The sequence below is a fragment of the Homo sapiens genome, chromosome 2 (assembly GCF_000001405.40).
Source record: "Homo sapiens chromosome 2, GRCh38.p14 Primary Assembly".
Lineage (NCBI taxonomy): Eukaryota > Metazoa > Chordata > Mammalia > Primates > Hominidae > Homo > Homo sapiens.
The window spans coordinates 144176204-144189821 of NC_000002.12; the positions used below are offsets into that span (position 1 = coordinate 144176204).

The window sequence follows — 13618 nt, forward strand, 5'->3', positions numbered from 1 at the left end:
TTATTAATAAAACAATTTATAAATTTCATCATTTTAATAGCTCTGAAGAGAAAAACAATCACATGATCATGAGAAGGCATTTAACCAAATGTAACAGCTACTCATGATTTTTTAAGTGAACAAAATTTTTATTCTTAAAATATGAAGATGAACTTTTTTTACTCTAATAAAATATGTACAGTTCAACTCAAAAGCCAGTATCATACTTGGGAAGAAATATTAAAGTCAGCTACAAGACAAAAAGTCTATCACCACTATAATTCAGCATTGTACTGCAATTACTAGACAACAAAATTAGGCAAGTGAAAAAAACCAAAGGTATAAAAACTGGAAAGAAATATGTAAAATTATCAGTATTTTTAGATAATATTAGAAAGCTCAACACCATCATCCAAAAAAATCATTTATTACAATTAGAGAATTTGGTAGGCTGATAGTGCACACAATTAATATGTTATATATATTTATGTATGTATGTCAGCATTTAAAGAAAGATTACATAAATAAATTTTTAAAATGGACAAGGCCTGTATGAAGAAAATGTTAAACTACTACTGAAGGAATCACAAAGATGACTTGACTAAATGGAAAGCTGTACCATCTCCTTGGACACTGTACTAGTCTGTTCTCACATTGCTATAAAGAAATACCCAAGACTGGGTAATTTATAAAGAAAAGTGGTTTAATTGGCTCACAGTTCCACAGGCTATACAGGAAGCATGGCTGGGGAGGCCTCAGGAAACTTACAATCACCGCAGACGGTAAAGGGGAAGCAGGTATGTCTTACATGGTCAGAGCAGGACAAAGAGAGAGAGTGGTGGGAGGTGCCAGACACTTTAAAACAGCCAGATTTCATAAGAATTCTATCACAAGGACAGCACCAAAGGGGAAATCCACCTCCATGATCCAATCACCTCCCACCAGGCCTCACCTGCAACATTGGTGATTATAATTCTGCATGAGATTTGGGCAAGGCATAAATCCAAACCATATCCAGACATGAAGAGTCAACATGTGAAGACATCAATCCTCTTTATCTTGATCCCAATAAAAAAAAAAAAAACATTGTTTTTGTTTATTTTAAACTAGACAAACTGATTCTAATTTTCATAGCCGAAGACTATGAAAAACAATAGCCAAGTAAACTCTGTGGGGTTTGGGGGTAGTCAATTGGAGATGAAGACCAACCCTACTAGACATTAAAGAATATTTTAAAATCTCAAAAATATAAAGTATAATACTAGTTCAAATATTAACATGCCTATACGACAGCAAAGTCTAGAAATAGATACAAATGCATACGAGGAGTTGGCATATGGTAAAGGTGGCCTCCCAAATCAGAGATGAACAACTCAACTGAGTTGTTGAGTCAACTTGGTAGACATCTGGAGGAAAAACAAACTGGGATCTAAGCAGGCATGCACCCAGGCAAATTTCAAATTATCCAAATGCTTCAATGTAAAAAATATAACCAAAGAAGTACTAAAAGGATTAATGTGCCCTAGAAAATCAGTTCCATATATGTCATAGCTTGCTATCCAATGCAAATGAGTGAGCCACAAATGTGAACAATATATGCAATTTTCAATTTTCTGGTAGCCAGTGAAATTTTCTAGTAGCCATTAAAAAATAAAACTGAAACAGGTAAGATTAGAATTTTAACATTATCAACATAATATAAAAATAATGTTTTACATTCTTTATTTGAAATCTTTTAAATTTAGGATATATTTTACAATTATAATACATCTAGTTCAGACTAGCCCCATTTCAAGTGTGCCCAATAACCCCATACTAATCAGCACAGTCCTAAGAAGTGCAGACTAAGTTCCACAAAGGTAGGGAACAGGGCTATGTTGTTCACCACCGTTTATCCAGTGCTCGTACAGTTCCTGGATATATTTTCATGACAGCGAGGAGGAAAGAAGTGAGGAATGCATCCTGTTTGAGAAACAAAGCCATTTCCTATATTAGAAGCCTAGGGTTCAAGTTTTGACTCTAAAATTTCCTAGTGGGTAACTTGGTCAAATCATTTTTCTGAACCTGATCCGTAAAAGGAGATTCTTCACGCTTATCCACCATTTTGGGTTGCTATCAGGATCAAATGAGATGACACACACATAAGCAATCAGTGAGGCACTTTATAAACGTTACCTGTCATTACTAATACAAAGATCTCTGTCTCTGTGGTCACTATTTCCAGAGGATGCTATGTTTCTGTTTTGATTACTATAGTCCATCCATCCTTCACCCATGAAAATGCAGGTTGACACTGTATCATGTTGGTCCATGCTCTATCCTATCCCTGGAAGACTGTTATTTTGATTTGTAAATTTGTGCTCAATACTTCTTTCTCTATTTCAGCTGCCTCCAAATGGAAACCTCTCTCCTTTAACTTGACAAAGGGAGGCTTTCCCTAGGCATCTCACACTCTTGTATCCTGCTGGTCTCCATATGGTCTGCAGCACCTACCCTATACCATAATGCTATTCATCCCCTCAGGTAGGCCAGGAACTAGTTACAACGAAAGCCAGAAAAGAAACTCCAGGATGTTCCTCAGAGAGATTTAGAGAAAGTAAAAAGGGTTGGATACTAGAAATAATCAACTGATGCCGGAAGAAAAAGAGTCACCAAGGAGCTTCTTTTCAGGAAGCTGGATCCAGGCTTCTTGCATTTTCAATGTTGACCTGCTTCATACCAAAAGGTTAACATTCCATTCTCATCTCTCCTGTTTCCTAATTTGTAATTTCTGATTGCCTGGTAAAAACGAGAGTTAGAGAAACTCGTTACTTTCCCATAAAACTTCTTTGATTATTTAAATTATTACGGCTAGCATTTTGAGTATGTGAGTTAAAAAATAGGAATACTTACATATAGTCAAGTCTTTCAGATTACCCTCAACTAGAATTGAGTCCCTGAGATAAAATAAAAACCTCCTTGATTGAGGTCACTTAGACAGCAAGAGTACTTGTGTAATTTCTGAGTGAAACAATTCTCTCATCTGCAGATGAAATGGGATATTCCTTTACTGACAGTAGAGTAGAAGGAGCATAAACCTGGGTTTTTCTACTGCCTAACACTGAAAAGTGGCCAAACTTTGCACAAATAACTTAATCTCTCAGTATATTTCCACATGTTAATTGAAAATAATTATGCTTTGCTTGCTCAATTGTTTTGAAAATATTCACTGCCACTTTCTATGCAGGCTAAAACATTGAATGCCAACCCTCCAGATATTTTCATGTTCAACCTTGATTTCCTAATGTGATTTAGATATATTTTTCAACACCGAGTGCATGATACAATTAAGCCCAATGTTCCTAAAAGTAGCCAATAGTAGAAACATGAACCATCCTTCACTCTGTGCATTTAGGAGCACAGAGGAAACTGGTTCTGAACGTCTTCATAAGTTGGGACTATGATACCGGGCTCACCTCAAAGGTGAAGTAGTCCTGATGCAAACAGAAAGGCCTAAGATCCACTAGACAAGAGTTGCCTACAAAACTCAAGAAGTATAGTTAGGTCACAGCTACTTAGTTTTCCACATTTATTGAAAGGGCTAAATTTTAATAAATAAGGGTCTCAGTGCTGTTTCTGCAACTTGCATACAGGTTTCCTGGATAAAACTCCTAAGATGGACTTAGTACTTAAGTTTCCTGTGAAGAAGGTCTTTGTTTCTACCAAGTTCTTAAGAATAATTTTAAAGCAAGAAGAATAATGTCATATGGAATTTTGTAGTTTGTTGTTGTAAAGGTGTATCCCTATGTTTCTTTGGGAAAATAATTTCTTTTACTGTTCTCATTCACAAGAACTGTAACATTCCCAGTGTTTGGCTAGTGGAGCATGAAGTTAGGAACATTACTCAGTAGATGTATTCCAATGAAGATGAAAACATACAGTGGAACAAACAGAAAAAACAGGTAATCTTAAGGCCACAGATAAATGACCATACCTAAGTCAGAATTCCTTAAGGGAAGCCAAAAATGCACTGAACGCTCACTGTTTGTTTCATTTTTTCTTTACTTTTTTTTTCCTCTTCAGTTAAAAGATACGCAATTTGATTGATGGTATTTTTTCCACATTGGTGACATTTTAAATGGAAACCAAGATTTTTTGGGAGTGGTTGTAATAGCTCGATGAAATCTTTCACATGTGCCAAAATGTTTCATTAATGTAAGTCAGCCAAATAATCTTCTTGCTTTGTAAAAATATTTCTCCTTTAAAAAATGCTTTCTGAACTGTTAAAAAAAATTAGAGTATTCAGAGTTTAGCTACCAATATATGTGTATTATACTTACTAACACTTTTTCCCTATTTCCTCAAACAGTAAAGATGGTATTTTTGATGAAGCTAAATAGGAAGTTCTCAAAATTTTTGTGTCAAATAATTACAATTTTAAATCCAATAATTTTAAGTTTGATCAAGTTGATGTGTTTCACATTTTTAAAAAACTGCTTGTACCTTTGATAAGGGCCAGGTGGCTGCTGCCTTTAAGTTTGTTGTATTTAGGTCCCATTGGCCAATGACTAGTATGGATTCTCTTTTAGTCCGTATATTGGTTTTCCTAGTTAAAGTGAGGAGGTAGTTCATGTATGAAGTGTTTGATCAGTGATAGCAAATGTATGATAAAGTAGAAAAATTGTCTTTCATTCAACAGAAAATAACATATTTATCATTAAAACAGAAAACTATAGTGATGTACTGGAGGTGACAAATGGGGGAACTTAAACTAAATTAAAGGGAAATTTCCATAACAGATTCACTAGTAATACTGATTTAATAACCATTTCCTGTCATGAGCTATATTTATCATATACCACCTCTCTGACATGACATTGTATTTAATGTTTTTGAGACCCATGTTTTAATCAGATTAAACTCAAGGAAACAGATAGGTATCTGTTTGGCTCTAAGCTTTAGCTTCTGTTTCTTATTTAGTCACAAGACTATTACTGCTGGAATCTTTATAAACACATTTGCTGGGACTGCAACAGGAGTCCAGCTTATGTTGTGAAGTCAGAAAAATATGTGCCAGTGGTTTTCATGATCTATGCACACAGTGCATTACAGAATTATTTAATAAATTAAAGACAACTAATGCAAAATGTGTTCCTTTCCCCCACGGGATTAAGCATCTAAAAATACAATTTAGTTTTAGATTCAAATACTAGTTTTTTAGGAACTAAGTAACCAAGAAAAATGTTCAAAGAAAAGTTGGTACAATATTATTCATTATTCAAATGTATTTACATAAAACTAAGATCACTAATAAGCTCAATGTTCTTAAAACTAATTTAACTGGTAAGAAATAATAATTTTAATAACTTGGCCAGGCATGGTGTCTCATGCCTGTAATCTCAGCACTTTGAAATACTGAGGTGTGTGAATCACTTTGAGCCCAGGAGTTCGAGAACCTGGGCAACATGGTGAAACTTCATCTCCGCTAAAAATACAAAAATGAGCTGGGTGTGGTGGTGCATGCCTGTAGTGTCAGCTTCTTGGGAGGCTGAGGAAGGAGGATCAGTTGAGCCCGGGAGATGGAGGCCGCAGTGAGCTTAGATCATGCCACTGCACTCTAGCCTGGGCAACAGAGTGACACCCTATCTCAAAAATAAAAATCAATCAATAAATAAAAAATAACTTATGTGACAGTTATGACATTACATTATTTAAAATGCAACATTCTAATAGCATTAGTGAACATATCCAATTAAACACATGAAGAGCTCTGTGGGTCAAATATGCCCTCCTTCAAATTCAGACTCTGAAAAAAGCGCTCTGTGGCCCAAGATCTCCCATGGCAGATAAGCTAGCAACAACCCAAAAGTGCCAAACTTAGCATTATGTAAGGGTTAAGTCATACATTAAAATTCAATAAATGTTAAAAGTGGAAACTAGGAAATAAAAGAGAATAAAAAAAAAGTAAAAACTGGCCTTTAACATTTCAGTCCACAGCACAATGAAAAATATTCTCAGACTTAAATTGACTACATGGTACATTCAACATGCAAAACCATTTTAGTGTAGATATAATAATACATAGTTTTTTAATCCATATAAATTGTCTACCTTTTCTTAAAATAGATAATTATAGAACAATTTCCTCAGTAGGTATGTGTGACTTAAAAGCTTCCTCTTTAGAATACCTTAGAAGTGGACGGGCATTGTGGCTCAAGCCTGTAATCCCAGCACTTTGGGAGGCCGAAGTGTGTGGATCATCTGAGGTCAAGAGTACAAGACCAGCCTGGCCAACATGGTGAAACTCTGTCTCTACTAAAAATACAAAAGAAATTAGTCAGGCATGGCGGTGCACATCTGTAATCCCACCTACTTGGGAGGCTGAGGCAGGAGAATCACTTGAACCAGGGAGGCGGAGTTTGCAGTGAGCCAAGATCGCACCATTGCACTCCAGGCTGGACAACACAGTGAGACTCCGTCTCAAAAAAAAAAAAAAAAAAAAAGGAATACCTTAAAAGTGCTGCAGGGCATGCCTGATAGGCACTGATTAGTTAGTAGGCTGTAATCAGGTGAACTAGTACTAAAGACTATTGAGTAGCATCCACAGCAAGTTATCAGGTACATTATATATATATATTATATATATAATATATATATTATATATATAATATATATATATTATATATATATTTTATATATAATATATATATATTATATATATATTTTATATATATATATATTATATATATATATAAAATATGAGAAAAGAGAATATTCTTCAATTGTCCATACATAAGAACAGGAAATATTTGAAACAATTATTAAGCAATACTTTAAAAGATTTCTATAGAAGGTTTTCTTGTAAGCATTATAATATCATATCTGAGTCTAAGAAGCCTAAGAAAAATTAGTCCCTCTTATTAGTGAGATTCATTTTAATATTTCTGAGTTTAGATATAGTTTCAGCCTACACTCTTTTTGGTTAATATTGATACAATATTTTATTAACAATTTAGAGGTTGGGTTTCAGGTGAGCAGAATAAATACACTATGTTTATAAGCATAAGATATACTTTTAAACCAACTTTTAAAATTTCACTGGATCTTTCAACATTTGTTTGAAATCCTTACAAGATATTCATCTATTTGTGGCATCATATAGGTCTGTCTCCCCATCTGTCTATGTTTTTCATGAAGACTAGTATCTGGTACATGTTTTTTTTCCTTCTCCACTTTAGTAGCTATTCATTGGCCCACTACTATGCCATTTCTGTAATACTTGTCCAACAGTTTTCATCAATCATTTTTTAATAAAATACAAGCTTTCTTTTACAGGACAAGGGGACATGTAATCAATGTATTTAATTTAATTCTGACTAAATTTCATTCTATATGGCTAGAAATTTAATGTCATCAAAATCTATTATTGTCACAATAAATAATCACATTAAAGCATCATACTAAAATCTATAGGGCTGAATTTTTTAAGAGCAACATATACACGGTTATTCATCTAGCCTTTTAGTCTTATCTTCCCAAATGTAACTTTCTTACATTACATGGCCAGATTTGTTAAGGAATTCACATCCTGCATGTGCGGACATCTTGAAGAATCCTTTTTTAACAGGATATCCTAACAACACCTCCCCACCCCCAACCAACTTGGTAGCCTGACTCTAGCACACACTCATCTGGTTTGACTAAAATCATTGCATTACTTGGCAGTGGTTTCCTCATACGTGGCGCTTAGAGCTCATTGAAGCTCAAACAGTACAGGAAATGCAAATCATGCAAACCACCCTCATGATGGCTACGTACAGTGGCGTGATTGAGCGGCAATACGCACGGCTCGTGGGCTGACCACATGAAAGGAGACATTTAAAGACCAGATGAGCAAAAGCTGGGATAAGTTAGAGAGTATGTGTGAGCTTCAAAGCTGGGAGAATAGCATCCTTATTTAAAATAGGAGTTTTTTATTATTTTTTTTTATTAATAACACCTGCCTAAGTTCTTTACACTGAGGGAAGTACATGGAGGTAGAGCAAGTCAAACATGCACTATACTGAATATAAGTGGGCCAATCCTTCTTTTTTTAATAGCCAGGTATGGCAGAAGAGTGGAATACTTTCCATCTATTTTTTTCACAAGATTTTCTACAAGTGTTAACAATTATGAGAAATATTTTCTTTTAGAGAGCTTAAAAGAAAGATAATCTAGCAAATGCTACAATATTTGCTCATAATTCCTTAAGTGTCAGTTTCATTGCCACGTTAATAAAATTAGTTCCTCCAACAAAAAAATAAGGAGCTATAATGCTTAGGAATTCTTCAACAAAAGGCTTAGAAACAATATGGAATTTTCTATTAAAAGAATATTTGAACACGGTTAATACAGTAATGAGAGTGGAAAAATGGCTATAGGAAGTATTTCTTTTCCTTTTTGGAAATGATTTTTTTTAGATGCTTCCAATTTACTACCAATTACAGAAGGGACTAAATATAATAAATTAACCAAAAAAATCATTCAATTTTATGTTTCCTTAGCACTTAAAATTATTTTCCAAAGCCCTTTAAGTATCTGTTATTTCATTTGCATACAGGGATGAGGGCATCAGGAATTCTATTAAAGCACTGGCTCCCTATATAGGTATAACTCCATATACCTATATAGTTAGAAGCTTAAATAAGTAAATTTTAAAAATAAGAGTTTAAATAAAGGAGGGAAAAGTCTAATGCTCTAGATGAGGAATCAGAAAACCTAACCGTAAATAGCTATATGATACGGGACTTACCACTCTGAAACTTAGCTTTTTCAACTGTAAAAAAGGTGCTATTACCAAACTCTTACCATCTTTCCTGACCACTTCTTAATTTGAAAGATCAAATGATACGGTATGTGAGAAAATTACACAGTGCTATACAAACAGAAAAAATATTGCACTATTTATGAGGCACTCACATTGTGCCAGCCACTATGTCAGGCTCCAAAAATATATTATCTCATTTGGATTAACTTCACCTTCACAATAATACTGTAAGGTAGGTATTATTAGTCCCATTTTAAAAGACAAGAAAACTGAAGCTCAGAAAAGTTAAGCAATTTCTCCAAAACCTTATAGCTACTAAATGGCAACACTGAGGGTAACTACATTAGGCCATACAAGGATCTGTTCTCCTATGTTTCACAGTCATCTACTGTGGGTCTGCATAACTCTTAGTTAGTTATGATTTTAACAGCAACTCAATGCTACCCTCTAAGAAGTAGATTTCAGTAATGCAGAGGTTCTCTAACGTTCCATTGGACGCACCAGCTGGAAAGCTGATGCACTTGTTATTTTGAATTGGCCCATATTAATTCATCAACGTCTACTTCTTCCTTAATTTATCCTAAATATAGGCAAAGATTACCATGTTTGATAACCAGAAAGAGTACTAGTAACCATAATCTTCTTTGAAGTCTCGAGAGCTACTGCCTTGAAATTTTAAACAAGGGCTGGTTAAGAATTTCTGACGAGATGCAACAGGACTTTCTGAGTGACAACTGTCTTCCTTTCCAAGCCAAGGAAGGCAATTGGATGTACAGCCACTAGCAAGCAGGAGTTAGCTGTTTTCTGTTTTGTTTTTAGATAGCTTGTAAAAGTCTGTAGGAGAAAAGAAGTTAGATTATTTTTAAACAAAATAAAACAAAAATCAATGAGCAGAAATTGCTTAAATTTGTCAAAAAGGAAAGCTATAGACATAGGAAAGATAGTTTGTAGAAAAGATTATAAAGTCGTACACAAATGGCAGGCAGGCAATGTATGTTTGCCTGTATAATAACAGAGCAACTGGCAAATGAAGAAAAGTCAGTGCAGAAGCTACCCAACAGGATGATTCAGATCAGTTGAGACATGGTATTCATTTACAGCTAGACAGTCCATCAGGTAACTGAAGCCAGGACAATGCCCAGAAGAGTATGGGTCAATATATCTACTAGGAATACTGAGTTTCTCCTTCTGCCTTCATCTCTTGAAAGATATCAAGGATCCTATTAGAGGTACACACCTTAATCCATCTATAGGAAGTCTGAGGTAGGAATATTATGCTACAATCTGAAGGTCAGAGATTTGAAAGCCATTAGTTACATCATGCCCTGTTTTATAAGAGAAACAGATATAAAAATCAGGCACTGAAGAGCCACAAGTTCAAAGATTTCAGAGATTATGTTGTAGAGGGTGGAAGTCCCTCCCTGTAAATTAGATTTGCATTCTGAGGAGGAAGTAATAATGTAGACTGGAAATAAATATGCAAACTAATGGGTTTTTTAAAATTTGAAATTTCCAGGTAAGACAAAACTAATACATAGATGTATGTGGGTTTTATTTTCGTTTTGTTTTGGATAAGAGTTCATTCCTCTTCAAATTCTCCATGACAATTCTCAACAGTCCCACTGTCACACTTTCTAGCTGAAAAACAAAGCAGAATCTGCTTGATGATTGAGCCTGTTTCTATTTGCCTTCAGTGGTAAGAGAAAAATATTATTAATTTAGTCATCCTTTACTTTTGTGTTTAAATTATTTCAAATTCTTTCAGTATTTATTTTCAAACCTGTTATTGATTTTCTTCAGTGTCCTCTAGGTAATATCAAATTTGCCACATTAGGTTCATGTTATAGAATTCAATACCAAACACTCAAAATCCACCCAGAAATGTCATCACCTAACTCTCCTTTTCAGTAACTCACTTAACCTCTCAAGACCTCCCTTTCCTCAGCTGCAAAATGACAGCAGTTTGATTAGAATAACTCTAAAGCCATAACTGTGTTAATATTTGTCATGTCATCTTAGTGTCAGGTATTAATATCTTAAGATGCTTAATCTTAATAAGAAAAAACAAAGTGACATCACAGAAAATATTATATAATAGCAGACAAATAACACCTTATTCATACTACTCTGTGGACAATCATCTACGTGATTATTGTCAAGTCACTGATACCACTTTGTGGTTGTCTTGTCTGTTTTTTGTTGCTGTAACAGAATACCTGAGACTGAATAATTTTTAAAGAACAGAAGTTTATTTAGCTCATGGTTCTGCAAGCTAGAAAATATAAGGGCATGGCCCTGGCTTCTGGTGACATAACATGGCTGAGGTCAAAGAAGAATCAGACACGAGTGAAGAAATAAAACCGAAGAAGCATCCTGGCCTTTTAACAACCTGCTCTTTCCAAAACTAATTCATTTCCACAGGAACTAATCCAGTCTTGCGAGAGCCAGAACTCACTTACTCCAATATGGCACCAAGCTACTCATGAGCCATCCAGCCCCATGACCTAAACACCTCCCACTGAGGCCCACTTTCCACGCTACCACATTGGGGATCTAATTTCAACATGAGTTTTGATGGGTACAAACTCAAACCCTAACAATTGCCTTATTGACAAACTGAAGATAAAATATCTTACAGCGTCTTCTGGTTTCAGAATTAATGACTATTTTACAGCTTATTATTTATACATGATGATACCAGACAGAGTCCTTTATTTAACGGTAACAACAAAAACTGAAGGCACAGAAAATGACAGGCATATTACACTGAATTCTGGGATGATGATGATGTAGTGGGTTGAAATGTATCCCCCAAAAAGATACATGCAAGTCCTAACCCATAGTACCTGTGAATGTGACCCCATTCAAAATGTCTGTGCTGATTTAATCAAATTTAGATGAGGTCATGCTAGATTAGTGTGGGCCCTAAATCCAATGATGTTTTTCCTTATAAAAAAGGACACACACACACAGAGGAAGGTCATGTGACAACAGAGGTAGAGACTGGAGTGATGCAGCTTACAAGCCAAAAAGAATGTCAAGGATTTGGAGGAGCCACAAGAAGCCAGAAAGAGGCAAGGAAGGATTCATCCCTAGAGCCTCAGAGGGAGTGTGGCCCTGCTGGCCCTGATATTGGACTTCTGGCCTCAGAACTGTGAGAGAATAAATTCTGGTGTTACAGCACCCTTAGGAAACTAATACAGATGGTCAAATCAGTGCAAGAAGAGATAGCCAGGCAAATAAAAAAATTATTAGAAGAACTCCAAGAAATATGTTCTCTTAGTGAAACTAAAAGACAAGTAGCACCAATTTTTTTTTTTAATTTAAGCTTTCACAACATTGAAAAGTAGTGCCTTTGAACGGGATAAAACACAGACTACATCTTAACCATCTACCACTAATTTCCCCTTTGAAAATAGAGAAACCAACTGACTTTTGAACATATCAGTTTCTTTTCCTAAAAAGTGAGATTTAACAAACTAATCAGCCATGCAAGAGTGCAAAGAAAATTAATGACATTATGCTGAGTCCTTTTGCAATCGGATGGATGGATGGATGGATGGATGGATGGATGGATGGATGGACTGATGGAAGGATGGATGGATGGATGGGTGATGGACATTTTAGTGATAGGTAAGGCATGGATAGGGATTGAGAATTATAAAACTTTCTGACACTTCAAAAAAATAATTATATCTTGTCTCTGTCGCACCTAGAGACCAAAGCATGATCAACTATCTCAAAAATAAATTTCATCTGAATATTTAAATCCCTCAAATAATGAGAAAAATAAGTATAAAATAGCATTCTTTTAAAAATATTTTTAGCTCTGATTAAAAAATAATGAAAATTACTAATATAAAACAACAATCTGTCCAATTAGTGTTTTCTTTAATTAGCAAGAACATTTAACCTCTTCAATAAGCTTCTATGTGGACAAAATGTTTCATACTACTATAATTATCCCTTCAAAGTAGCAAAACAAGAGGAAAGGAAATAGCCGGCAAGTAAAACAAAACAAACAGAATTATTAGTTATATTTATACTTACAATCTACAACTGGTGAAGGTAAAATGAAACAGATAATACTATTATTTGTACTAGGCCCAGACTGTACACTTTAGACAATATTCTCAACCTTGGATGCACATTAGAAAGACCTGCAGGGTACATATATGTGTGTATGCATACATATATGCATTTTGAGACAAGGTCTGGATATGTTGCCCAGGCTGGTCTAGACTCCTGAGCTCAAGCAATCCCCTAGTCTGAGCCTCCCAAGTAACTGGGATTACAAGTGTGCACCACTGTGCCCCACTTATGCAGAGTATTTAAATATAAATACTGATGCCCAAGGCCCTCCTGCAGGGCAGGGCTATCCCCTAAGGCAGTACACAGGGTTTGCTCTGTGCCATTCAGTGGCCACCATTCACTCAATACAGTGCAATCTGTAAGATGGAAGAATAACAACTAAGTGACTACAGAGCATTAAAGATATTGAGCCACTAAAAGAACACTGATTAATAATTTCTCAAATAAGCAGCACCATACTTCAGCTCTGGGCAATTGGTCGCTTTTATTGAGCAACCGTTGCCTACAGGACATTATAAGTATGTTCTGTTCCCTGGGAGACTGCCTTCTCTTTTCTTTTTCTTTTTTTTTTCTCTGAGACAGAGTTTCACTCTGTCACCGAGGCTGCTGGAGTCCAGCGGTGCGATCTCGGCTCCCTGCAACCTCCGCCTCCCGGGTTCAAGCAATTCTCCCGCCTCAGCCTCCCAAGTAGCTGGGATTACAGGCACTCGCCACCAGGTCTGGCTAATTTTTTTGTATTTTTAGTAGAGATGGGGTTTCACC

The 13618-nt window shown here is 35.4% G+C and overlaps 1 protein-coding gene across 65 annotated transcripts in view; it reads right to left on the minus strand.

Moving 5' to 3' along the window:
- Positions 1 to 13618, minus strand: part of QTMAN (queuosine-tRNA mannosyltransferase) — a 395002-nt gene that overhangs the window by 238136 nt on the left and 143248 nt on the right. For 2 of the 65 annotated variants that reach the window (NM_001284238.3, XM_024453145.2), the window contains 2 exons: positions 2632 to 2757; positions 932 to 1037 (listed from right to left, as the gene is read on the minus strand). The exons of 60 other annotated variants lie outside the window; for them this stretch is intronic. In NM_001284238.3, the coding sequence (NP_001271167.1) occupies positions 932 to 1014 (83 nt within the window). In that variant the 5' untranslated portion in view covers positions 1015 to 1037; positions 2632 to 2757. Of the gene's footprint in view, positions 1 to 931; positions 2758 to 6146; positions 6453 to 13618 lie in introns of those variants that run through there. 3 more of the 65 variants (XM_047445845.1, NM_001354351.2, XM_011511856.4) reach the window with 3 other exon arrangements.